The 27,787-nt window shown below is 46.7% G+C and overlaps 1 protein-coding gene and 1 long non-coding RNA gene across 2 annotated transcripts, besides 3 other annotated features; both read left to right on the top strand.

The window, feature by feature from the left end:
• Positions 1-312: 312 nt before the first annotated feature.
• LOC105378104 (uncharacterized) lies at positions 313-2,149 on the top strand. Its single transcript, XR_943216.3, has 2 exons — positions 313-608; positions 1,837-2,149. It is a non-coding gene; the product is annotated as an uncharacterized LOC105378104 (long non-coding RNA).
• Positions 2,150-2,877: 728 nt separating this feature from the next.
• Positions 2,878-5,200, top strand: LOC124901498 (uncharacterized). Its single transcript, XM_047419664.1, has 5 exons — positions 2,878-3,188; positions 3,388-3,518; positions 3,647-3,697; positions 3,913-4,067; positions 4,558-5,200. Exons 1-5 carry the CDS (start codon positions 3,126-3,128, stop codon positions 4,830-4,832), a joined length of 675 nt encoding a protein of 224 aa, XP_047275620.1. The 5' UTR covers positions 2,878-3,125; the 3' UTR covers positions 4,833-5,200.
• Positions 8,802-8,921: an enhancer, noted in NCBI's record as "active region_25423". NCBI's record gives its function as "activates an Ori minimal core promoter by ATAC-STARR-seq in GM12878 lymphoblastoid cells {active_cell/tissue: GM12878}" and the evidence as "EXISTENCE:reporter gene assay evidence [ECO:0000049][PMID:35858748]".
• Positions 10,404-10,473: an enhancer, noted in NCBI's record as "active region_25422". NCBI's record gives its function as "activates an Ori minimal core promoter by ATAC-STARR-seq in GM12878 lymphoblastoid cells {active_cell/tissue: GM12878}" and the evidence as "EXISTENCE:reporter gene assay evidence [ECO:0000049][PMID:35858748]".
• Positions 12,418-12,717: an enhancer, noted in NCBI's record as "active region_25421". NCBI's record gives its function as "activates an Ori minimal core promoter by ATAC-STARR-seq in GM12878 lymphoblastoid cells {active_cell/tissue: GM12878}" and the evidence as "EXISTENCE:reporter gene assay evidence [ECO:0000049][PMID:35858748]".

Raw genomic sequence — 27,787 nt, 5'->3', positions numbered from 1 at the left:
TAAATAGATGATACATAGACAACAGATGATTGACAGATAAATGATAGGCAAAAAAAGAAGATTTCAGGTAGTAATCAATGTCAGACAGAAAGAATAGAGTGAGGTGATGGTGGCCAATCACGGGGTTATTTCGTGGTGTCTGGTCAGGGCAGTCACAGAGGAGGGGACCCTCTACCTGGCCTCCGGATGAAACACCAGTTCCTGCATCCTGACAGAGGGTGTGACCAGAACCAGGACCCTCAGGAGTGAGAGCATATCTGGTGACAGAGACACCCCCAGCAGGTCCCAGCCCGCCCACTTCCATCACAGGGTTGTCTGCACTGCCTCTTGGAAGCCAGACGTGGCCACGTGACTCACTCTAAGCAATGAACCCTAATGGTGCCCACTTCCCCTTCCGCCTTCTGCCAAGGGCCCAAGGCCCAGGTGCAGCCAAAGCCTGGGCAGCCCCAGCAGGGCCTGTCATGGGCACAGCCTCTGGACCGCCCACACTGCACCTGGAGTTAGGAGACCTGTGCTCTGGTCCCAGCAAAAATACATTTTTGTTTTAAACTGTGAAGGTTTGGAGGTTATTTGTCAGCACAGCACAGCCTGACCCTCCATCTCCAAAGGTAGGTTTGGGGCAGGAGGGTGGGGAGCCTGGACGGGGCTGCCCAGGGCTAGGGTGTGGGGGCAGGGGCTAAGGGAAGGGGCTTCTCTTAAGTCTATGTGAAGCCAGTGGGAGGTTTCCACAGGGAACTGGTCCACAATGGAGAGGAGGCAACAAGCAGGAGGGCAGGCCTCACACAGCAGGGGTCTAAGAGCAGGACCCCCAGGACCATGACCTCTAGGATGCACCATTCACCAGCTCTGTGACCTGGAGCAGGTCACTTCTGTGCCAGGTTTCATTCACCCTTTTTTTTTTTTTTTGAGACGGAGTCTCTCTGTGTCGCCCAGCCTGGAGTGCAATGGCGCAATCTCAGCTCACTGCAACCTCTACCTCCCGAGCTCAAGTGATCTTCCTGTCTCAGCCTCCCAAGTAGCTGGGATTACAGGTGTGCACCACCACACCCGGCTAATTTTTATATTTTTCTAGTAGAGACAGGTTTTTTAGTATTTTTTTTTAGTAGAGACAGTTTCACCATGTTGGCCAGGCTGGTCTCGGACTCCTGACCTTAAGTGATCCACCCACCTTGGCCTCCCACAATGCTGGGATTACAAGCGTGAGCCACTGCGCCTGGCCTCATTCACCTTTATAAACAAGGATAACAAAATGACCACTGGCACGGTGCTACGTGAGGATGAGAGGCGCCAGTTCACATGAAGGGCCTGGAAGAGCACCAAGCACCTGGTCAGCACTCAAGAGGAGCTGAGGAATCACTGCCATTCCTGCTGCTAGAGACCAGTGACCCATTCCCCAACAAATGCCAGAGCTGGCTCTTAGGGGCCCCTCGCTCATTCCTGCAGCCTAAGTCTGAGCTCCGCTTCAGCACCTTCCAGGGCAGCAGCAGAAAAGGGGACTCCACCTTTTCTAAAAGTCAGAAGTCAATTTAGGAGAGTCCTGGAAGCCACTGGAGCTGCTGACTAGGTGCCCAATTCTGAGCACATGTGGGTGACCATGCTTGAAGGGACAGGTGGGGGGTCGGGAGACAGAGGCACCACGTTAGTAAACAGCTGGAAGATCTTTGTGCTTTTTGGAGACACACACTCAGTGGCAGGAGCCTTGGTTTCCTTCTTCATTTATCAGTTTTGCCCTGAGGGAGAGACAAGGCAGAGACTAGGAGGTGAGAACAATGAATGACAAATGCAAATTTACAATGGATAAAATATAATTAGAGTTAATTCAATCTTTCACTAAAGAGATCAAAAACTGAAGGAATGGTGCCTGAAAGTGCTTCCGACGTCAAGCTATCCTGAAGCACCAAATTCTCAACTGTTGCCGTATCTTTCTGTCCCAGCAAAGACCTTAACTCCAAAAAAGGCTCAAGTCTACCAAGAAGGCACCCAAACCTTCTGCACTCGATAAATGCAGAAGGTTTGGGTGAGGGCAGCAAAAACAGTGATTGCCTAATAACAAAGTGACCAAGGGTCCCTCACGCCAATATTGTAGCACTCTTTTTTTTTTTCTGTAATTGTGAATCTTCTTGGTAAAGTAAACATATACTAAATTGAAGACCACTGTGCACTGGCTTTTAATCTGTTTTAACTTTCACAGCATCATTAGAAATCACTTTGACGCAGTTCAGGATGCCCATAAGATCACAGCCACCGCTGGGCCTGTCCACATGGCAAGCTTAGTAACCAAGGAAAAGTTTGCAAAGCAAAACCTATAAAGTGACAACAAACACCATGTTGACTTTCAGCAAACGCTAACTCCACACATAGATGCTCCCTATAAACGCATAGTTTTATGGACCTTAAATGTCTCTGATGGTTCTGTAAATGCTACGCTTAGCGAGTGACAGAATTCATGAAGGAAGAGGGGGCTGGCCTTGCTGGGTGTCCACCATGCCCTCTCCTGAGTCTCCTGGGGCCCCAGAGTCACTGCGGCCCAGGGGCATGTTCAGGTAAGTTAGAGAGAGGGGTGCCCTGGCAGGTGGGGAGGGAGAGGCTGTAATCCAGGGCTCCTGGCTTCATTGGTTTGGGCAGCTCTAACAGAACACCTTAGACCCGGCGGCTTATTCCTCACACTCTGGAGGCTGGGAAGTCCAAGATCAAGGTGCCAGGCGATCCTGTGTCTGGGGAGGGCTCCCTGATTCACAGCCTGTGCCTTCCGGTTATGTCCTCATGTGGTGGAAGGAGCGAGGGAGCTCTCCGGGCCTCCATTTCGAGGGCAGGAATCCCATTCACAAGGGCTTCACATTATGACGTCATCGCCTCCCAAGGGCCCCACCTCCTAAGACCATCCCCTTGGGACTTTTGAGTGACACAAACATTCGAACCATTTGGCCCCTGATGAAATTCCTAACCTCCCCTTGTTAGAGTCAGTCTCCTCCCGGCTCTCCACTGCCACTGTCTCTGGCTGCCACCTTGGTCCTAAAGCAGCCTGGCCCTACTGGCTCGCTGCTCTCATTCTCTGGAGCCAGACTTCTGATTCCCATGCATTTGACCTCTGGCCTCCTCAGCCCACACCACCTCAACTCTTGAGCATGGAGCCCAGGAGGAGGTCCCTCCGGGGACAAGGTCACCACCCCTCTGCGCCTCCCTCTAAGGTGCCCCCAACTGTCTCTGCCTCCATGGTCGCTGCTCCCTCCCACCCATCCACATCATCCTGAGAGGCTGTAATCAACCTCCCCTCCCCGCTGTCCCCCCGACATTCCCCTCTGCCCTCCCATCCCCACATCAGTGTCTTAATTCCTTTCCCCGTACTCCTCCATTATACCCTAAATATGGGCTTCTCTATCTGAGAAGTGGGGTCAGCCCGAGGCCAAGCTGAGAACCTGCCCCAGCCTCCCTGCAGGCCTGGCCTGGGACCCTCCTGTGGAGGAGCTGGGTGCCCAGGGAGACCCTCGCAGGCAGCCAGACAGCCTGAAGAGAACAGGGTGAGGGGCAGCGTGGAGGGAGAAGAAGGGAGGGAAGTGGGAGGTAAGGGGGACTAAGAGATGGGAAAGGAGGGGAAAGGAAAGGGGAGCAATGTGGAAAGACAGGGAGCACCTTCTTTAACATTCAGGTCACTCTGGGATAACCTAAGTCACTCTACAGCCTCACCAAAGAGATGGGGGTGAGTGGAGAATGAGGAGGAGAGGGTTGGGGGCGAGGAGAGGGTGGGTGAGGGAGAGGAGAAGGTGGGGGTAGGGAGGAGAGGGTGGGGGGCAGGAGAAGAGGGTGGGGTGGGGAGGAGAGGGTAGGGAATGGGAAGGAGTGGGGGGAGGGGAGGAGTTGGGGGGAGGAGGGGAGACGGTAGGGGGACTGAAAATGGACATGTCCACTTTCCAGGCACCCTCTCCTGCGTGGGAGGAGCCCACAGAAACCTGAGGCTGGAGGGATTCCCTGGTGGGAAAGGCACGCAGGGCTTCGGGGAGACTTGCTGAAGTCTCCAGGGGAAGCCCTGAGCCAGAGCTGGGGTCAGGACTCGCTGGAGCCAGCACCAGGTGACCATGGCCCTGGACAGTGTGTGGAGGGGAGGAACAGAGAGGTGGAGCTTGCGCTTGACTGTGCCTGGCTCCCTGCAGGCCCCCAGGTTCCCCTTTCCAACCCCAGCCATGCCACCGTGGCCAAGATGGAGCAGCCAGAGCCGGGCAGACCAGGAAAACACTGGCATTTTTATCTGTCCAAAATTCAGTTTTTAACACCAAATAGCTGTAGGCCCTGCAAGAAAGAGATGAGGAAGGGGGTCGGGGGGCCTATAAGCTGAAAAATACCGAACAAGCCTCTCCTGCTATTTGTCCTCCTGAATAAAAAAGCAAAAAAGTGGCTTTTCCTCTCCTGGTCCACACCCAGCATGCATTGCTCTGCCTGTGCCTCTCACGCTCACGCTGTCCCAGTTCTGCGTTTATCCTCATGCTGGTGGGTGTCCTCCACCAGAGGGTAGGCTCCTGCAGGCAAAGGGTCTGATTCATTGCTTCCTGCACAATATTTCAGCTCCGTGTACAGTAAGAGCTCAGAGAGCAACTGAATTTGGGTGGCTGGAAAACCGAGTGGTCAGGCCACTGCCAGCCTCATTTTCCCCCAGAAGCAGACCCCGGGAGGCTTTCACCCACAGCCACCCTCAGAGCAGCCAGCCCACTCCCGGAAGAGCTGGACGCTGGATCAGCACGCTCCCCTCCAACACTCCCTGGGGAACAGAGGCCAACACATGGGCTGGAGCACCGTGCTGTGATGCCACAATTCAAGGGCCTATCTTTGTACGCAGCTGAAAAGAGGAAATTCAGCGCCAGCGTAGCTTCTCAGCGGCAGCTCACCCCAAGCTGCCAAGGAGGATGTGGGCAGGCAGTGGGCAGCTGTGTTTCGGGAGGCCTGCAACGCTCCACTTCCCTAGCGCGCTCACATGGGATCCCTGGGTTTCCAGACTCATAATGTGCACGGAGGGACGGCTGGCTGAGAAGTTTTGAAATCCATCCCTCGTCGATGGGGTCTTATGCCAGTTCTACTTAATACTTTGTTTTTCTAATTCTAAGCATCAGTTCTCTGCCAGAAAATGAGTTGCGTTTGCTTCAAAAACACTACAAAACGCAGAACTGGCAAGTATAAATGGCTCTAAATTTAATAAATATTGATCACCCAACCAATGTGCAATATTTTTCTTCCCACCCTTTCAAACCCTTCCTTGAGCTTGAAGTCAAAGTTTAGCTGGAGGACCAGCCTCCCACGCCTGTTCTGGCCTTCGTTCCCAAGTTCAGCCTGGACAGTTAATTGACAACAGGTGCGCCACCCATGGTCCTGGCAGGGCTGACCCGGGCTAGAAGCCTCCAGTGCCCCCAGTGGCAGCCCTTCTGCAGGATTTGTGTCCCAACCCAGTTTATTTGGCAAACAACAGTCTTGATGTGGGTGGAGATGGGAAAAACATCTGCCTTCCTCATCTGGCTTTCAAAATACAGCGTTGCCTAAAAGACTGGAAGGGAGGACAGAGAGTTCTAACTGGCTGGAAACTCCTGCCCAAACAGATGACTTGGAAAGCTGATTTCATTCTGGGGGATGGGTGTGGAGTGTTCTAGACCCGCCCAGCAGGTTACAACCTTTTTCTTCATTCCTTCCTTTCCAGAATTGGTTATGGCTATTTTTTCTTTTTTACCCTGAGCATCCACACCGTATCAAACACCATCCAAGTACACATATTTTGTGTGCAGTAGGTTGATAGTTTCTAAAAGAACACACAAAAGCATCTGAGCCAGACTTAAGTATCGCCAAGAAGGAAAAGGCAAAAGGGACCCTATACTTCTGTGACCTGTCAGTGAAGACTTTAAGAACTGAAAAGGACCTTGTTTCCTCCATCACGTGCTGCCCCCTTGCAAACAAGACTGGTGGCATATTTTGTTCATCAGACCATTCTCGATTCTGGACCTCCCCACAGATGCTCCGTTGCTCTGCAGTATCACCCAGTATCCAACATCGGGTGGCCACAAGCACAGCAGAGAGCTGGTATCATGAAGGGCTCTGATCTCTATAAGTTTTCATTTTTAGAAACAGGCACTTACATTCTACAAGAAGTAATGAAATGTTGGCAAGTAGCAATTGTAGGCATGGATGCAGGGGTTAAATAAAACTTTCCCTTAACCGACTGCTGGAATGGATTAGAGAAATCCTTCAAGACATAAACTGTGTGAAAGAGAAGACAGATTGCCTTTCTTCGGCTGACTGAAACTTAAATATTAAAAATTAGGCTTCTATGAAAGCAGGAAATGGAATAGGAAGTCCAAAAAGTAACCAGGAGTGGAGAGATGAGGAAGTAAGTAAAAATCATGAAGCACCTCCTTGGCTACACCCAGGACCCCGGGGCTTCACTGCAATCTCCTCTCTTTCCAGAGGTTTCTAATCTCCAGTGCTCCTCCATATCGATGCAGAGCAGGACGCCTGTGAGTGACACGAGGTGCTTGTCAAACACACAAGCTCTTGGGCTGAGAGTCTGCAGCTACAGGCCTGAGTGCAGCCAAGGATTTTGCCTGTTGATTTCCAGATGACCCAGATCCACACTTGGGTTTAGACTAGTCTCCAAAACCTAGTCTTGCTGACTTTCTTCCCATATCTATGAGCACGAATGTTGGGCCGTTACATAAGCAGCATTGGAAAATCATTACAAAATTCAAGAAAAAAAATCTGAGCTATTTAAGTACAAGGTTTACTATGAGCATTATTTTGGCTTCATTTTACGTGCCATGCTAGTTTATGAACATTCTATAAGATTTTAGGAAGACATTTTATATTCATAATCAAATATTGAAAGGAGAGGGCCCTTATAGCTAATCTGGCTCAAAATCAGCTTTCTGAGAGGATAAGGATGCTCAGGAACCACTGATTTAGGCTGGTCTACAAAATGCTGCTAAGTGTCAACAGCCTGTTGAAAGTGGCATCGCCCTTCCCTAACCTCTAGTGTCTGTTTGTGGGTGTGCTGAGGAGCTAGGAAGTGCCCATAGCCTTCAGGGAGTATCTAGTGTGGTGGCGAATGGGCAGCCCTTTAAAGCCTGTGCTTCGTGCCCAGCAAAGAGCATTCCCATCAACTCTGTTATTTCAACAGGACTGGGTCCTGGGACCTGGCAAGGAGAACCAGTGGCCCTGGACTCTAGGTTCTGCCCTGGGCTGCCCAGATCCAGCCAGGAAGAGCCCAGGGTTGGCAGGGGATGAGACGTGGGGGCTCCATTGACTGAGCTGCCTAAGTACACGCTGCTGCCTTCCATCCTGCACCCCTTCCCTGCTTGGCCACAGTCAGAGCCAAACTGGAATGAACTGCACTGAAGAGAGAAGTGGCTGCCTCCCCTCCCTCCCTGGGCCACAGCCCTGGCTTCCTCTCCTACAGGAAGGGAGGTAAAGCCGCTCCTTATGAAGGATGTGGACTCAGGAGGGGCCACACACAAAGGGGAGCCTGTCACATGGGGGGAGCAAGTCAGGATGTTACTAACAATCAAAAGCTTCCTTCAAAGGTTCCTGTTTAATTAAAAATTTCAAAGCGTAGGACTTCCAACCTGCTGGTCTCCCCAGGACACCCTGAGGGTCTCAGGGGAGGGTGCACTCAGACAGATGGTGCCTCCCCACCCTATCAGCCACCCCGGCCTCTCTCCTCAGTATCTCCAATATAGGGTTACCTCTTAGGTGGTCCTAGAGAACATTTTATTCTAGTGGTCACCTGGCTGAATGCACAGACGTCCCCTGGGACATCTTGCTGGCGCAGAGAGGGGGGCCTGAGGATACCATCACGGGCAGGCACCGTTCCCAGGACAGGGAGAGAGGAAGCAGATTCGTGCCCTTTCTTCATGGTGGGCTCATCACTGAACAGAAAGGAAATCACTGTCAGTCACTCCAGCTGCCAACCTGGGTCTCCCTTCTGCTGCTGCTGGGTAGCAGGCAGTTTTGGTGACCCCAGGTCATGCACCCAGGGGGATTTATTGCCAAGGTTCCTGGAGGACATCTGCCCCCACTGTTCCCTTTGGAGCGTCTCAGTAAGAGAACCCGTAATGTCTAAAAATAGTGCATGTCAAACTTCATAAGGTTCTAGAAAGAGGCCTAAGTATAGTTATCCACTAATAAATTAAGCCGATTTTGAGAAAGATTAGCTATAGGGGGCCTTCTCAAGATTTGATTACGAAGATAAAGTGCTGTATTAAAATATTACAGACTATTTGTAAAGCAGTATGGCACATAAAATGAATCTCAAAATAATAGTAAACATTTAAATAGCATGGATCTTTTTGCCTTGTATTTTATAATCATTTTTCAATCCTTATTATACTAAAAGCCCAGGATTCTCATTTTGTGGATATGGGGAAAAAAAAAAAAAAGCAAGTCTAAGCAAATAACAAGAAATCTGGTTTCACAACTCCTAGCCCAGTTAAGTTCTCGGGACAGAATGAGGTCCAACGTGGTCAACAAACATGACATCATGCCACCCACGAGCTGGACACGCGACACCTGGGGCTCCAGCTGGCCATGCAAAAGGGTGAGGTCTCCATCCCTCCTTCCGTGACAAAAGTAAGCTCTCCTTTCTGAAGAGCCCTCAAGCCAGAGACTGAACCCCCAAATAAAAATACAACAGAGGTCAGCTCTGAGAAACCAAAATGACTCATCACCTCACCTCCTGTCCTAAGTCCCTGGCTTCTCACACTCTCCCCTCTTGACTGTGTTTCGAGGCAAGGAAAATACCTATCATTGCCAATTATGGAACCTGTTACCAATGAAGGCCACCTTGGCTGCAAACTTATCTTTGATATGGGACATTCTCCATTGCTTGTGGTGGAGAGAACAGACCCTTTTCCCTTCTATGGTAATATGCCCCAATGGAGGTTTTCCACCACGTGAATAATCTAGACGACAGGTTTTCTGTGTAGCATCTTATGCCAATCTACGTCCCTCGTGCACAGCTTTGGAGAAGGGTCCATAGCTCTGTCTAGAGGCCCGTCCACCCTGAGCCCAGAACATCTCCATCCCTCAGGCGGCCGCCTGCAGCAGTGCAGCTGGAGGAAGTAAGTATTTTAGAGCATGTTTTCATACCTTGCTACTAGAGAAGTGGCAAAGCACTCTTGTTTTTGAGAAGTGATAACCTCTTAGAGATGAAAAAGGAAAAAGCTAAGGGGAAGCACTGAGCTGGGGAAACTCTTACAAATCAAGAATCTTATAGCAGAAGAGTTTTGCTTCTTTTGGAAACTGAATCAGTGTCACTAGTGGAATTACACCCCCGTGGGGGATGGGGGGGCACTGTTGTCTGGCAAACAGTGCAAGTCATTTGTCACACCTAAACACGACTAGGTTACCCTCAGCTACACCGTGTCTCCCACCGTGTGACCTGTGATTTCTTCCTGCTCTCCTTTCCATCTGTGTCCATAAAGACTTGGAGTGAGATCCGGTTTGCTTTTCTGCCTCCTCTGTCCTATTTGCCAGAGAAAACATTCTGGAATTCCTCCCAGGAACCTTCCCCCAGTGGTTTCTGTCCAGCCATCCGCATTCTGTCCTTTGGGGAAATATTTCTCCTACCATTCTGCACCAGCAGGTGTGCTAACGTAAGCCTGTGCACGAGCACCACTTTGCCTGAAGATCACATCTGTCACAGGAGTGTCTGTTCTGTGGACAACACTGAGGAACGCCTCTCTTTCCTCATGCCAAGCCACTAGCCCTCCACAGACACTTTCTAAAAACTGCCACCCACATCACAAATGGCTGCTTTTACTTCTCTCTCTACTCTCCCAGCTCGTTTTAAATGCTCCAGCTTAAATTTATCACATGTCCTCACTGGAGTTTACGGATAGCTTCTAATGTACCCTAATTCTAGAGTTATGGGAGAGAGGAGCAAATAAAGTACAGGATGTGGCTAAACCAATTTGTAAAAGGAAAGGAAAAAAATGCAACCCAGGCAGAAAACAACGGCATTCTTTTCCTATTAAATGTAAAGCAAATATTAAACTCCTGCAAGGATTTTAGAATTTATATCCATACCCATGCATTTATATCCTAATTGCTCATCACTATGGGAACCAGGTATTTTTGACTGATACTTTAAATATAATAAAGACACAAAAGAAAAAAATAGATCCAGCTTTCTGGGTGTAGACATTTTTCTAGGTGGTGCTTAATGAATTTAAGCTTCTGAGAGATGGTTTGTATTCATTGGATCCCCTATCCTGATACCAGACCCTAGTTCCTTGGTCTTAAACTGCAAGGATCAGACTCGCCTGGAGGCTTGTGAACATCCAGACTGGTGTGGGGCACCGCCAGAGTGTCTGACTCACTGGGTCTGGGAGGGGCCCAAGAGCCTGCAGTTCTAACAGGTGCTATAGATGCTGCTAGCTTAGGGCCCACTTTGAGAACTGGCTGCTTAGCTCAGTGTTTTGAGAATTAATAAGAGAAGGACACGTGGGAGATGAGACTCTGACATTAAGGATCACACCAAAATACCTCTACGCCCTTCGCCGAAGTCCTCACTTGGTGTCTTCATGTGCATATTCAAAACTCTGGAATTCAAGTTAATAATAAGAGCATGGAGGCCTATGCTCTATGAAATGTCCTGACAACATCCCTAACTTATCTCAAAGAGACTTACTACACATTGAATTTAGGTTTCACAGGGAAGTTTTTGCATGTTAATTAAATGCCAATTGATTACTAAAGGCAAATCCACTGAGGATTAACTAATGTCACTGACATGGACTTCTGACATAACTGCAAAATCCAGTGCTTAACAGATAGTAACAAGCTGTCTCATTAGAAATCAAATGACTATGGAAGAAATCATGTTTAAATGTGGGTATTTTTCATCGTGAGATTTGCTGACACATGGCAGCAAACAGACTTGATTTGGGATAACATTTTCTAACTATTGTCCTTAGCCTGCCGTGTTTCTGAAGCTGCTCCTGCCACAGCAGAATGCCTCTAATGGATGACCCCCCACTTAGGACAGCACTGACTCACCCACGCAAATCCAAAGTGTGGTGCATGCAAATTTTAGCCTCGAGTTCTAGTCTCAGAGCACAAAATAGTAACAACTACAACAAAAATAACAGCACCACGCACTGAGTCTACTGTGCTTCATGTACTACATGAAAGAGGAACCGCAACACCAATATTCCAGTCAACGGAAACGGGGCTCAAAGGGACTAAAGAGTGGACTGACCAAGGTGACACGTGCAAGTCAGTGGTGGAGCTAAGATCAAAGCTCTTCGCTTAATCACTACAGATATATTAAATATTAAACATTTACAGTCTACACAGTCTCTATTTTGTTGAAGATTTTTATGTGGTACATAATAGAATCATTTTACATGATACATAATGGAATATTTATTACGTTTTACAAATAAAACTGAGGCCGAGTGAGATTGGGAGAGTTACACAAATTCACAGAGGAAGTCCATAAAATGCCATGATTCTAACTAGACTACAAAGCCCCCTCTAAGCTCTGTCATTGCTCTTGGAGAATCCATTCGTGTGCTTCACTTGGTAAGTTCAGAGGTACTTACAAAATGCCTTCTATGTGCTAAACACTGGCAAAATGAACTTGCTGATAATTTTTATGACTGATCAACTTGAATGATGAGCTCCTATAGATTAAAGATGGCCACGTGTTCTTTGATGCGCTTCCCTATTAAGGGGAAACTATTTCCCCTCCCACAGGAATTCTGGGCTAGTCTGAGGCCCAGTAATTATATCCCAATTACTCATCACTATGTTTACCAGGTACTTTTGACTGGTACTTTAAATATTATAAAGACACGAGAGAAAGAAAAAATTGCTGGCCAGGTGCGGTGGCTCACGCCTGTCATCCCCACACTTGGGGAGGCTGAGGCAGGTGGATCACTTGAGGCCAGGAGTTCGAGACCAACCTAGCCAATATGGTGAAACCCCGCCTCTACTAAAAATACAGAAATTATCCAGGCATGGTTCTCAGCTACTCGGGAAGCTGAGGCATGAGAATCACTCCAGGAGGCAGAGGTTGCAGTGAGTCGAGAGTGCACCACCGCACTCCAGCCTGGGCGACAGAGTGAGAATCTGTCTCAAAAAAAAAAAGAAAGAAAGAAAAAATTGACAAGATACAGACTGCTGGGTGTAGGCATTTTTCTAGGTAGTGATATAGTAAGTTTAAGCTTTTGAGGGACAAAAGAGAAGGAGACTAATCTCTTTAGTCTTCTATATAACTCATCATTCAAGTTGACCAATCATAAAAATTATCAGCAAATATATATTTTGTCAGTGTTTAACACATAGCAGGCATTTTGTAAATTGCTCTTAACTCACTGAGTGAAGCACAGAGGTTGATTATCCTAGAGAAATGACAGCTGAGAGGGGGCTTTGTAGTCTAGTTAGAGTGCATTTTATGGACTTCCTCTGTGACTATTCAGCTTTGACTAACAGGGTATGGTGAAGTGACTGCAGGCCAGTCCACAGGCTTCAAAAGGACAGGCAGCTTCCACCTTGGTCTCCTGGAGCCCTGTGCTGCCAGGTAAGAGATCTGACAGTCCCGCCTTAGAGGCTATGGGGAGGCCCTGAGATGACATGGGGAAGCTGAGGTATCAGCTGAGCCCAGGCTTCCTATCCCTACCAGAGTGCTGGGCCTCTGACAGAAGCCTTCTTGAACCCCCAGGCCAGCCCAGCTACTAGCAGAAAAATTTCAGGTGTCTGAGCCCATTCATGCTGCTAAAACAGAAGACCACAGACAGGTTGGCTTAACCAACAAACATTTATTTCTCACAGTTCTGGGAGCTGGGAAGTCCAAGATCCAAGCACCAGCAGATTTGGTGTCTGGTAAGGACTCACTTCCTGGTTTGCAGATGGGTACCTTCTCATTGTATCGTCGCAGGGGCAGAAAGCAGAAAGGGAGAGCTAGCACTTGTGTCTCTCCTTATAAGGAAGTAATCCTATTCATGAGGGCTCCATCCCCATGACCTAATCACCTCCCAAATACCCCACCTCCTAACACCATCACATTGGCAGTGAGGATTTCAAAGGTATGAATTTTGAGGGGACACAAATGTTCAGTCCCCAGCACTAGGTGACCTCAGTTAATACAACATGAACTCTTGTTCAAATTCCTCACTTCCCAAATGACAAAACATAGTCAAATTGCATGTGCTTTCAGTCACTGACTTTTGGGGTAGTTATGCAGCAATAGGTTACCAGAAAAAAAAACACTTGTTACCTGGAAGAGGGGTGCTTCTGAGACAAAAATGGCAGCATGTGGCTCAGGACTGGAGACCTGGTGGTGGAGGTGGAGCAAGGTCTGGAAGGCCTCAAGACATCTGTTAATGGGGAAGGAGGGACAGTGAGAAATTGTTATTAGAGACTGGAGTAGAGATAGCCCATGTTATGTGATGGCAAACAGTTCAATGAACCCATCCCTTGACGAACATGGAAAACAGAAGGTACAGCTATGAATTCATGAATTAGGCCTAGGAGCTTCCCAGGTGGCATACAGAACTCATCTCCTGGTTGTCAATGATAAAATTCAAAACAAAGATGAACCAAAAAAGGAACTGTTAGTTTTTATAAACAGAATGTAGAAGAAATATAAAGGAGCCAGGACTTGCTAGGTTTGAAAATAAAACTTTCTTATCCTTAGTCTCTCCCAGCAAAAGATTCTCAAAGGAAAAACTGGTTCCACGGCAAAGATCAAACCCAAGATGTTACTGCAAGATTCTTTGTTAGGTCTTCAGAAGGTCTAAGGTGGTGTCTCACAGGTCATTTCAGACAGACGAAAGTCCTGCAAGGGACGTTCAAGGCATGCCTCAAAGAGCTTCTCTACTAAAAAGATGGCTTCCATGGCTCCAGACAGCCTCCCAAAGAGCTAAAGTTAAAGAAAGTTCTGTGTGGCTCCAGGGAATTGGTGTGTACTGAGAAGGGGAGGGGCCCACACGAGCTCAGCCTCCCAGGAGACTCTTCCACAGCTGCAAGGGCATGCGTAAAGCCATCTTGAACCCTCTGGACCAGCCCACTTGCCAATGACCACAAAGTGATCCCTGTCAAACTCTATGTGAAGCAGAATAATCGTGGGCCAGTGCCTGCCCAAATTCCTGATCCACAAAATTGTGAGACATAAAAAGATGATACTTTAAGACACTAATTACAGAAGTCACTTCTCACACATCAAATAACAATTATGACATGAAATTTCACAGCAAATGAGATGAGATGAGCACTCCAAAGGTCAAGTGGAAATTGTTATCACCTTCTTTGTGTTCATATCTGCATATGGTTCCACCAAGGTATGACCTGCTACTAACCACCTAACAACTAACAACCAGATGCAAATTTCTTACCCTTTCTGCAGCAATAGACACAGTTCACTTACCTCCCCCCACCCCACCCCTCTGCCCTTCTTGAAACTCCTCTCGGCTTCCACTGCACACTGAACTTATCATTTTCTCAACTCCGCTTTCGAAAATGGCTACCATTTGTCCCTTTCTATTTTCACTTCTACCACCTACTTTAAGCCATTCTCTCTCTTACCTGGGCTGTTGTAGTTGCTTTGTAAGTAGTATCTCTACCTCCAGGATGTTCTAAACCTCATGTCATACTAATTTCCCAAAGTGCAGCTCTGATCATATCCAGCCCTACCTCCTACCAAATGTAAACTATTCAGCAGCCAACATACATTACTCACTATTCTCCAAATATATGCCCCAGATCTTTACACATGCCATTTCTTCTCCATAGAATAACTTCTTTTTCTCACTCAACATCCCTCTCAGCCTTTAAAAGTCAGCACTATTGCCACCACTGCACTGCTGTTTTCCTCTCTGAGGAGGTATGGACCTAACCCCCCCAGCCTAAAGTCAGTCTCCTTCCTCCCAAATTCCCATGGTGGATGGCTCACAATTGCCTAACAGTTTTACCATATTCGGTCAAGTGATAAATTCATAGGTTCACCCTCTACCAGATTATATGCTCCTCAAGGTTGGGAAGTAGATCCCAGCTGTGGAAACACAAGAAGTCCACACACTGGGGAAGACAGACCTTGCTCTCAAAAAATGTTATATTCAACAAAAGACAAGACTAACACAATGAACACTTAGAGAATGAAATAAGACGGGATATAATGAATTTCTAAATTACACGGTACAGATTATAAGTGCTTTAGGAGATTGGAGAAGTAGAGGAGCTATCGTGGAGTGCTGGAATCATCAAGTGCAACTTTGTGGGTGAGGCAGAATGTGCACTTGTAATGTCAGGCTGGGAGGAGACAAGTGGAGAGGAAGGAAGCCACTTCAGACAAAGAAATCAACATGAGCTCACAGACAGGAGCGGATAAACACTATGTATTCACAGAAGAGTGAGGAGATGGGCTTCAGCTAATTAATTCTCCAGGAGTAGGGAGACTCTCCAAGGCAGCCTCTTCTCCTAAGAAATCCCTATTCTTACCATAAGCTCACCTTACCTTTGGCTATAGAAATCATTAAGATATTTCCCAGACTAAAATCTGGGACGTGTAAGGGAAAAATATTTGAGTCCAGTACGGGTCAGGAGAATCAAGGAAATACGAGCACCCTGCAGTGAGGGTTTGGGGCAATTATTCCCCCCACCTGTAAGAAGCACACACAGGAGAGTGGACCACTCCCACGGCTGTATCCACTGCAGAGGGCACTGAGCCACAGGCCCTCAGCAGCCCAATCTCTGCTCAGTTTGCAGAACCACTGTCAGTTTTTCAGCCTGTCCTGCTTAACCTAGTGAGCCTTTAGTCATATATGTTTCCTAAACAAGGTTCTCTCACCTTTGTTTTAAAGACTGTGGATCTGTGGCCCCAGGGAGGTTTGAGGAAATGGCCGAAGACCCCACTGCCCATGATACAGCAAACCCAGAAAAGGAAAGCAGCTGTCTGGCTCTGCACCCCAGGGGTTCTCCCTCTCTGTTGTACTTTCTCCCAAGAAGATGAAGTCTTGCACAGGTCACTGATATTATCTAGAGCAATAAGCTGCCCCATGGAAACTATCTCATGACGTGTACTCACTAAGTGTTTGCAAGGAGAGCACCCTCTCCTACCTCCCTGCCAGCCCAGGAGATCAGAATGTCCACCAACACTGTCGCCCTCTCAGGAGGGTGGAGGAAGAAGCAGCAGCCTTTTCTCATCTCTTGTCGGCTTTTCCTGAGGACAGTAAAGAAGATTCGCACGAGATGGGACAATACGCATCCCACAACCATGGTCTCATTCCTCTGGGAGTTGGGGAAGCGGCTCTCCTAGGCTTTCTCTCGAGCTGCCTGTCCCCTCGGGCCACATCACCCTGAAGAGCAGGCCCTGCCCATCTGCTGGGCCCACAGGCTCAGCCGGGAAGTTCAACTCAGGAGAAAGGGAGTAGGGCGCTCATTTGGGCTTCACAAACAAGCCGTTGGATCCAGTTTTTCCAGCCAAGAGCAAATTTGACACCTCTCTGAATTCTCTGTATCTTTTTCCACAAGTTCAGAATTCAGAAGGCTTGAGAAAACTGACTCCCTCAGAACCCTCCAACGCCACCATCCTGAAAGAAAAATCAACAGAAATCGTGCTTCATGGGAAACCTCAGGGGGCTCAGAGCACAGAAATGATCCATGCCAATGGTTACTCATGTGAAATTCCTCCACTCCCTCTCAAAAGGACTCTGAATTCACGACCCCTCCCCAAAATAAACAAAGCTCTGGGCCTGACATTAGTCAACTCATTTCACGGTGTTGTGGGGCCTCAGCCTTGTCCTCTCCATCTTTTTCCCCAATTCTTCTCTGTGTGCAGGGAAGTGCCTCCCACAGGAACCGGGGGTGCCTATTGTTAGCAGAGCTGACCCCAGCCCTGGAGGTGGTACTGACTGCTTCATCGTGGCCTCTGGAGCAAGCCAGCAACCTACAATGCCTTTGAAGAGCCAGATGGCAGGAATATGTTTTCATAGCTACCTTCAAAAATAAGAGAACAATGAAACAGACCTAGACCATGGAGAAGCAAAAAAGGGCAGCTCCTTTATGACTGCAGCCCGTCCGGCTCCATCTGCTCCTGGGTCTGTGGCTGCATGGCACTCAGGCTGACGTCTCCATCCAGGGCTGTGGGTCCTCCTCCTTCTGCATGAACTCCAACCTTGAGTGGGATCCCACAATATCCTTCCTCTGCCAGACCCGGCTCCACCTACTGTCGTTCTCCTAACTCAAACCGTGATTCTTTCTCTGTCAACTGGATGCTTGCCCCAGCCTATAAACTTGCCCCAGTTGCTCCCATCCAGAAGGAAAAAAAGAAAAACCTCTACCTGTCTCTCTAGCACGCCACCTCCACTCTCCTCTCCCCTGGCCAGGTGCTTCAAAGAGCTGTCCATGTGCTCCATCTCTTACCCCTCTCATCAATGCTACCTACATCTGCCCACACCACTCATGGAGACCACTCTCTCCGTAACCATCTCCAAAGACGGCCTGTACTGGGCTAAAGAGTGTCTCCCAAACATTAACATCCACCCCAAGCCTGTGAACTTGAGGTTATCTGGAATTAGGGTCTTTGCAGATGTCATCAAGTTAATATGAGGTCATCAGGGCGGCCCTAATCTAATCTGACTGGTGTTTTTATAAAAAAAGAAGAGACTGCAAAACACACAGGGAGACCACCATGGACAATGGAGGCAGTGACTGGAGTGACGCATCTACAAGCCAAGGAACACCAAGGTCTGATGTCACCACCAGAAGCTAGGGAGGCAAGGACAAATTCTTCCTAAGAGCCTTCAGAGGGAACAAGGCCCTGCCAACACTTTGATTGCAGACTTCTAGCCTCCATATCGATGAGAAAACAAATTATTGTTGCTCTAAGCCACCCATTTTGTGGTACTTTTTACAGCAGCCCTGGGAAGCTAACACATGACCTCTTTCCAGTTCTTCTAGCCACTTGTTTGCAGAATTTGGCACCACAACTCCATCCTTTCTGAAATTCTCTTCATCAGTGATTTCAGCAAGATAACTTTCTGGTTCTCCTCTTAATTCTCTGCTTCTCCCTTGCCTTTTTCAATGTCAGATTCCCCCACAGTTCTGTCCTTACTCCCTTTCTCCTCATTCTACTCTTCTTTCCAAGGAGAGCTCATTTGACTTCTGTCCACGATGACCCCCATATTCACACCTTGCCTCTCCATTGAGCTCCAGACCCGTGTCCCCAAACACTTAACAGAATTCCCATCACATACACCTCATAATACCACCCATCCAGAAGTAAACTCATTATGTGCTATATTAATTTTTTTTTAATTTTTATTGAAGATTGACCCTGGCTATCAGATGGAACACCAGACCTAGTCTTTTCTATGGCTACTTCGGCTTCCTCCCAGCTCAGTGGCTGGTTCTGAAAGTGAGAAACTTAAGGAACACTCAGAAAAAGGTATAGAGCCTTTCACTGCCGAATCACGTAAGCCCCACAGCATCTCTTCCACTCTAGTCATAAATCTGCCCAATTCAAGGGGAGGGAGAATAGATGTCACCTTTCAATTGGAGAAGTGACAAAGTTACAATGGAAGAAGAATGGACGGGATGGGAGATAGTGGGTGCTGGAAAATGCAACCTGCCATGGCTTCCTAACTAGCCTCCCTACCTTAGGGTCTCATCCCTCAACCAAAGTGACCTCTGCATCTGTGCCAAGCTCATGGCTCACCCTTGCTTAAAACAGCTGATAAATCCCATTTCCTACAAAATAGGTTTCTCAAGCTTTCCTATCACCAGGAGCCTGGTTACTTTGCTATTGGCTCTCAGCTCCAAATGCACCCTTGTAAACCCTTCTGTGACACTGGGCTGTGGCTCTGTATACCACACTTCCCAGGCCCCCTTGCCAGCTGCCTCCATTAGGTTCTGCCAAGTAACTAGAAGACACTAGAAGGAAACTCTAAATCAAGTGGGTGGAGAAAGAGGTTCCTCCCTTCTCTTTGCTTCCTGTCAGCATCACCCCTGCATGGGCACTTTACTCCAGCAGTGACCGAAGGTTCCAGCTTCCACTTTCTTTCTATGCTCGCAGAAACAGCCTAGCTGAGTTCCTAAGAGTCCTAGAAGCAGCTGGGTCAGACCCCTTTTTGGAAGCCTGAGTCCCGCCTCTATAAAGCCCTCTCTCCAAGTTCCAGGAGCTGAAAACCCCATCTCTCCCCTTGTTCTCCCAGCCCTCAAGGTGGCACCTGCAGCTGTCAGGGTTACCTTGGTGTTCTCTTCTGGCCCTTTCATGGCAATGCCTATGAGATCAACCCCCCATATAAAAGTCCCTCTTTGAAACACCTAGTGTGGGTCCTCGCTCCCTAACCAGGCTCTGGCTGATAGGGCGTGTTAAGACTTTTCATTATCTGGCTGCAATCTGCCCTTCAAAACCGACATTCCAAGATTCTCTCCATAAAGCCCTCTGCATTCTACCCACACCTACTATTTCGCCCTAATTTTTTTCATCCTCTTACGACTATGTATATACTGAATCGCTAATTTCATGAGGGAAGAAACTGCATCTTAAATATTTTACTTTTTCTATTTTATTTAATTGATGCATAATTGTATATATTTAAAGAGCACATAGTGATGTCCTGATACATACAATCTATAGTGATCAGATCTGGGTAATCAGCATATCATCTCAAACATTTATCACTTCCTTGTGTTGAGAACATTCAATATCCTCCTTCTAGCTATTTGAAACTGTGTATTCTTAACTACAATTATCCTACAGTGGTATAAAAAGCTAGAACTCACTTCTCCTATGTAGTTTTTGTTTTCTTACATAGAAGCTGTACTTTTTAAAATTTTTTTCCTTTTTTTTTTTCGAGATGGGTCTCACTAAGTTGCCCAGGCTAGACTCAAACTCCTGGGCTCAAGCAATCTTCCTGCCTCAGCTCCCCAAGTAGCGGGGACTACAAGCACACACCACAGCCCTTAGGCCATTTTTCTCTCTCCCTTCTCTATCTCCCCACTTTCTTTACCAGTACCTTGTGCAGGAAAAGACGTATAATGTTAGTTTAATGAATGCAATTATTAATTCATTCACTATATGCCTAGAGAAATGATATACTGAATGGATTTCTGACATTGACGGTAGACATGTAAGATAGACATTAAAGGATGGGTCTTACCTAAGCCTCACACACCACATCACCAAGCTGCCTCTCACTTGTCCTATAGATTAAGGAAGGCATGATTATGACCTTACGTATTACATACAGTAGTCCCGTTATCTGTGGTTTCATTTTCTGCAGTTTCAGTTACCCACAGTCAACTGTTGTCTGAAAATATTAAATGGAAAATTTCTGAAATAATTCATAAGTGTTCAATTTTACACCATGCTGAGTAGCATCATGAAACACAGTCCCAGTGACAATTAATACTGAGTGTCAACTTGATTGGACTGAAGGATGCAAAGTATTGTTTCTGGGTATGTGTGTGAGGGTGTTGCCAAAGGAGATTAACATTTGAGTCAGTGGACTGGGACAGACAGACTCACCCTCAATCTGAGTGGGCACCATCTAATCAGCTGCCAGCACAGCTAGAATAAAGCAGGCAGAAGAAACCAGAAAGACTGGACTTGCTGAGTCTTCTGGCCTTCATCTTTCTCCCATGCTGGATGCTTCATGCCCTTGAACATCAGACTCCGAGTTCTTCAGCTTTTGGAGTCTTGGACTTACACCAGTGGTTTGCCAGGAGCCACGGGGCCTCTGGCCACAGACTGAAGGCTGCACTGTCAGCTTCCCTACTTTTGAGGTTTTGGACTCAGACTAGTCAACCACTGGCTTCCTTGCTCCTCAGCTTGCAGACGGCCTATTGTGGGACTTCAGCTTGTGATTGTGTAAGTCAATTCCCTTTAATAAACTCCCTTTCATATATGCATCTATCCTATTAGTTCTGTCCCTCTAAAGAACCCTAATACAGTCCCGCTCCAGCCTGCTTGCAATGTGAGTCACCCCTTTGTCCACCTTATCCAAGGTGTAGAAGCTACCTGCCCATTAACTTTCAACATCGTCCACTTCTGACATCCAACCATCAACGTCATCATTACCCAGGCTCCAGGATCCAGGGTCACCTGAAGCAGATGATCCTCCTTCTGAGGTTTCATCAGAAAGTCAAAAGCGACATCACAATGTCCACGTCATTCACTCACTTCCTCTCATCCTGTAAGCATTTTATCGTCTAATATCATCAGAAGAAACATGAGTATTTTTTGAGAGAGACCACATTCACATAATTTTTATTACAGTACATTGTTATAATTAGGTATAATATGTGTGTACAAGAAAAAAACTGGGTGTACAGGGCTCAGTACTATGCCCAGTTTCAGGCATCTAGAGGTCTTGGAATACATCCCCTGCAGATAAGTGGGGCTCTTGTAATAACCAGGGAAGCCCCAAAGGGATAGGCATAAATCTGAGCCACAAGCACTGGAGAATGCTGGTCACAGCTCTGACATCTGATTATGTATGACACTTGCCCAACCGCAGCTCCATTTCAAGTATAAAAGGGGGAAATTGCTATGAACAGTGTAATGGGCTATTTAAATTACCGCATCACGATAGCACTGAGAACTGATCTTGTCCTTTTTACGAAAGCACCCAGGTGTCCCACTAGATTAGTGTAATAACCCTGTAAGAATCTCTGGCCAATAGTTCTCAGACATAACGTCCAGGACAGTGAGCTTAGGGGAGTTTCTCAGCCCCGCAGAGCCTGAATGAGGCCCCAGGAATGCCTAAGACTTATGGAGAGTTGAAAACTAGGACGTTTTTAAACACTTTGAATTAGAAATGAGTCATCTTTCAAAACCAACTTTGCCTTTCGTTTAGGTTTCTAGTGAAAAACAAACATGCAAACAAAACCCCAAACTAATTCCAAATACCTCAGAAGTTAATTTGCTTTTCATTTATTCTCCAAACAGATACAGAGGTTTTCTTTCCTTTAGCATATTTTAGTTTAGGCTCATTTGTTTGCTAGGAACAAACATTCCCTCTAGGTGGAACAGATAAGGAGCTGTTTATGTAAGGGGTGATGAGAGACCCCCCTCATGGAGCCCTAGAATAAGGCTGTGACAAGAAGCTGCCCTCCGGTTGGAGAATGGGGTGCGGGGTGGGATCCAAAGCAGATTCCCGGACTCCCACAGCGGAAGCAGGTGGATCTTCACGTGAGCGCTCCACCATCAGCAGCCACAGAAACTCCTGTGTCTCTTTTTTCTCTTACTAAGTAACAACAGTTTCTTTGCTTCCTTCCAGTTTAAGTTCTTAAGAGGGAATCTGATCAGACTGGCCCATAGACGCCACAGATCTGTGGTCAGCCTGGGGATACAGACCTGCTTTCCTGGGTGTTGAGTGTTTACAGATATGAGTGCTATATGTGTGTGTGTCGGGGTGCGGGACATTGGTTCACTTAAAAAGCATCACGTATATTATGAGAAAAAAGGTTTGCAACTGGAATATCCATTTTATGATTCTTGATCAACTTGCTAATATGTTATGGTATTTCACACCTGTGTGAGTCTGGGAAAGGGGTGGGCAATTCTTAGCTAGCCTGAGTGGTTTTATGCTTTCGTGGGGACCTCACAGTATTCTTCAGGTTCCCATTTCTGGGTCTGATCTCCTGCACTCTGCTGACCCACGTGTATGCAGCTTGATTCGGGGCAGTATCTTCAGATCCCTCCCGAGCTCCCAGAAACGGAGCATCCCTTTCAGCTCCTTGCTGCTGGGGTCCCTCCATCCTTCTAGGTGGCCCTGTTGGGCAAGACCCAGGACAGTCCCACACCAGCTCTTTCACATGGCCAGTATTTGGATCGGAAGACAATGATACATCCCTTGCTCCAAAAACTTCTGGGAGTGCAGGGCAATCCCAGGCATCTCTATGCTCTTACTAGAGCCCACTTCATCCTTCTCAGGCAGCAGTACTCTGCATCTCCCAAGTGTAAGAACACACTTCAAGAGCCCTGCAACAGCTGATGGAAATCCTCTCACTAGGCTACAGATGAAGGGTGTGGCTCCCCCAGCCACCTCCTCCCTGTGAGGGAATGAGGATTCACAACACAGCCACATCATTTTCCACACGCACCTCTCCACAAGCGTTCACACATCTTCCCTCTACTCCCTTTTAGACTTTCTATGTGGTTTAGAAGTCCAAGGCTCATGGAATCCATCTGCAAAGTTTCTCCTATAAATTCTGCATATAAATACTCGTCTCCCACTCACTTTGCCATCTCTCCTCTATCCTAGTGGTGCTTCAGTCTAAACCTCCATTTTTAAATCCAATCACACATTAACAAGTTTTGACAAAATCTGAAGTTATTACTTTAATACCATATTATATATTTAAAAACATATTACCTATTTTATAATTTTTGATGTCTAATTTATGAACGTGACATGATGAAGCCAGAAATTAATCCACGTAATAGCAGAAATTGGTTAGCCAGCATGCATTCAGTGACTCTCATGTGCCACCCTTGTGTGCTGGGTGCCTGCAAAGACTACAGCAGACCCATGACCCAGGAAACACAAGCACACTTCAAGACCAATGGGACCACAGAGTTGACCACAGTGCTATGCCTCAAATGCCAACATGGAGGATTACAGTAAACAGCATAATGCTAATAAATTGAGTAGGGGTTTGCAGATAAAGCAATGCAGTCCTAGAGATCTGTGGTTAAATTTTTTCATAAGAAATGGACATCAGCCGGGCGCAGCAGCTCACGCCTGTAATCCCAGCACTTTGGGAGGCTGAGGCGGGCAGATCATGAGATCAGGAGATCGAGACCATCCTGGCTAACACAGTGAAACCCTGTCTTTGCTAAAAAATACAAATAAATTAGCCAGGCGTGGTGGCGGGCACCTGTAGTCCCAGCTACTCGGAAGGCTGAGGCAGGAGAATGGCGTGAACCCGGGAGGCGGAGCTGGCAGTGAGCCAAGATCGCGCCACTGCACTCCAGCCTGGGAGACAGAGCGAGACTCGGTCTCAAAAAAATAAATAAATAAATAAGAAATGGATATCACAGTTTATTGTTACAAACATATTTATCTAGAAGATGTTATTTACAGGATTGTTTGTTTACAGTGGTATAACATATTAAGAGCTCATGGATAAATTATGAATGTAATACCAAATACCAATATTTAAGTTTCTCATAAAAAGTATCAAAAATAAAAAATAAACACTGCTTTTGAACTTATTTTATTCTAGTCAAATACTGTTAAGCATACAAGAGTAGCATCTGCTTTTATAATTCCAAGTGAACGTAAAGAATATGCAGAATTTAGTGATAATTTTACTGTGTTTGGTGACTCTACACATGCAGTTAGTTTAATCCAGTTGGCCCATGTTTATAAACATGCTATTCAGGAAGTAGAGATGCTAAAAGTATGCTTGTATACTTTTTTTTAAAGTTTTAATGCTATACAATGAAAAATGTAGACCAAGTTCACAATGCACAAGCCCTAAACAAAACCACGCGTCTCTGGCTGGTGCAGTATTTCCACGACACCAGGCATCAGCCTAGCTTGTGCTAATGTTGTATCTTGGGAGAATGACAAAGATGAGTCTTGGTTTTTAACAACTGGCAATTGCTGAAAAAAAGGATTCAACAATGAAAATGCTCAAAAAATTATCCTCAGAAAACATGTGATAAGCATAAACCTTTCACTGCTATGATTGCTGGGGATAATCTTGCCTCTATATTTCACAAAAAGTTACCAAACTGATATACACCAGATTTCTCAACCCCGACACTACTGGTATTTCTGGTGCGACATTTTTTTATTGTGGGGGCTGTCCTGTCCCCAGGATGTTTAGCGGTATCCCTGGCCTCTAATCACCAGATGCCAGCAGCACCTCCTCCCCAACTTGCAACAGCCAAAAATGTCTCTAGACATCGCCAAATGTCCCCTAGGGGCAAAATGGCCTCAGTTGAGAACCAGTGACACCCACTAATCATCTGGGGCACGGAAGTAAAACACTCTGTAGTTTAATTCAATGCAACTACATTTGTTATTATCTATATATACGGTGATAGGCATGGAGCTTTCAGTCCAGCAGGAGAGCTTAAGTAAAAGAGGGCTTGAGACCATGTGTTCAGGAGTCATATGGCTGGGTCAGACTGTCCCCTTTGCTAGCTGCCTCTCATCTTGAAAAATTCACTTAATCTCCTTAAGTCTTGGCTTACTCAACTGGGAAATGGGAGTAAGAATAGCACCTGCTTTGTATGCTGTTGTGAGAATTAGATGAGAGAATAAATAGGCATTCATTCCAAATAAAACGGCATTTAACAAAGTACTGGTATACAGTAAGTGTCCAATAAATGTTGGAAGATGCATGGGTGCTGTAATAGCACACAAGAGGACAACAACAGTTGCATCACCCTTCTCCAAACTCAGCTGGAAACAGTGGAAAGGAAGGATTTGCCAGCCTGCTCCCTGTTACCAAGAGAAGGGGTTCATCTGAGATATGTGTGCGTCCACACATAAACAAACATGCATATGGTTGCGTGGTTTTAAAAGATCCAATCTATAACATCCGTGTTGAATTAAGGTGTCAAGTACATTCTGAGGGTTTTATCTTTAATAAATTAGATGACAAGTTAAATTTGTTTTCATTCTGCCTAGAAATATTAATACTGAATTTTGAAGCAGACATTACTGATGCTTTCAGAGCCTATTTTTAGCAGATTTTCTTTTCTAAAGATTATTCCATAAAGACAGGTGAAAAGAGAAAAAGTAAATTGTGATGTGAAAACTGTCGCTCCATAAAAGGCAAATGATATATTCATTACATCCCAGCAGCAGAAGGATGTGAAGTGGTCCCCTGACTTAGTTTGGCACAAGTCCTTCCACAAACCCCAGGACTGTGGCCTGATGTGAACACCGCTGCTGCTGAATGGTCAGGTGGGCCTAACTCCAAGCCAACCTGGAGTCACGGGGTTGCCACACACAGACCTTCCACTTGGGAGCTGTTGAGAGAAGACCCAACAGGACTCTGCTCTCCTGAGGGTCCCTCACCAAGAACTGCCTGGGCCTGGCCCCGTTCTCCAGCTGGGCACAGCCGTGGGCAAGGCACATGGCTTGATGAGTTCGAGGAGGGCTGTCTCAGCCCCGCCAGCCTATGCAATCAGCCTGTGCCCCTACACGGGGAGCCATGACCCACCCTGAGCTTGATCTTCCAGGGTCTCTTGGTCCATGGTTTCGTCTTCACTTAAGAGGTGCCACTATGACCAGAAAAAAAGAACTCCGCTCCATCCTTAACCCTGGCTCTCAGCACAGGGCACTAACTTACCTATTGAGCCTCAGGAGAAGAACCTGATGCTCTGGTCATCACATCTGTAAGGAGGGCCAATATGTAAGGCCAGCCAAAATCAGTGCCATCCCCTCTTGAATTTATGAAAAGTATTCCTCCTCTGAACACCCCTGCCTTCCCCACCTCTCCCTGGCAAATCCATATGTATCTTTCAAACCTCAGCTCAAAAGTAGTCTGAACATTGAAGCCTCTCCCAGCTCCCTCCTCCACCACCAAACTCTGAGGTCACTTGCTCCAACTAATCATGCACTACATTGTTTGTTTGTTGAGTCTATCTCCCCCACTCAACTGTGAGTGCTTCATGACACACTTAATAGGTAGAATAAATGATATGATTGATATTTTATGGAATTGAATGTAGCTTTTCATTTTAAGGGACCGATTAACACTACACTAGGTTCAACTATTATTTTTCTTCCAGTGAAATCCTTCAAGCCTTCTGAGCAATTTAATGTTTTCCCTGCAGAATCATCTAAATATGAAAACAGCCACTGTGCATCAGAACAGAGCAATCACCTATTAGTGACTAGGTGTGCCACTTTCATGGAGATGGCTTCCACATCTCCTAACAGAGGACAACCATGCTTATTTAAATGCCTGCTACGTGGCATACTACGGAGGATCATCAAAAGCAGGGCCAGATCTGCTGGGCAAGTGGGAGCTGCAGAGCTGGTGAGTGATGGGCCTGGGCTTTCACCTGTGGCCTGGCCAACCGAAGCCAGTGCTCTTCCCACCACTTGCTGATTAAACACGACTTCCTTATTGCTTTTCCCAGGTGAGACTAAAAATCCTGAGAAATCATCTCTGGCTACAGCTGAAATCTTCCCATTTGAAATCCAATATCTGGATGGACACCAGACTAACCTTGTTTATGAATTAAAAGCATCTCAATTATTTCAGCCTGCTCCATTCCGAGCTTCAGTCACGTTCTACGCTGCACTCCCTCCCCAATGCCTTTCATCTGGAGCTTCCTAAGGGCTTCCTGAATTGCTGTGAACTTTCTTTCCTAAAAGCCCTGTCTGGGAACAATCATGTCCTAATCTCTAGCAATACAGTAAAAAAAGAGTTTTAAGCTCTTCAGGCCTCAGTTTCCTCACTGGTAACATTGGGAAGTACTCTCCTGCAAAGACAGAGAAGCACACTGGGTTTTGCTCCAACTTTTGTCAGTCTTCCCACTCTGTGCCACAAATTTCAAGAAGGAAGATAATAAGCTCTTTCTTTCTCAAAGTGTTCATGGCTTCAGAGAGCCCAAGCCTGATTATCTCTAAAACACTGGTAGCCCTCAGAGCAGACTGGGGTATTTTTGTATACAACAGCTTGAACAGAAAATTTTAAAGTGAGCTCAAGAGTGGAGAGCGCATGTTTATAAATGCCTTTATGCCTTTATTTGACCTCTCCTCTGTTTTTAGAACATCATTAAGGAAGATCATTTCTTTCACTAATGATTTTGAAAGAAGTCGTGGGTTATCCTTAGGAA

This window comes from Homo sapiens, chromosome 6, assembly GCF_000001405.40.
Source record: "Homo sapiens chromosome 6, GRCh38.p14 Primary Assembly".
NCBI lineage: Eukaryota > Metazoa > Chordata > Mammalia > Primates > Hominidae > Homo > Homo sapiens.
Note: the sequence above shows the minus strand (reverse complement) of the source record. Positions and strands in the feature narration are given on the sequence as shown.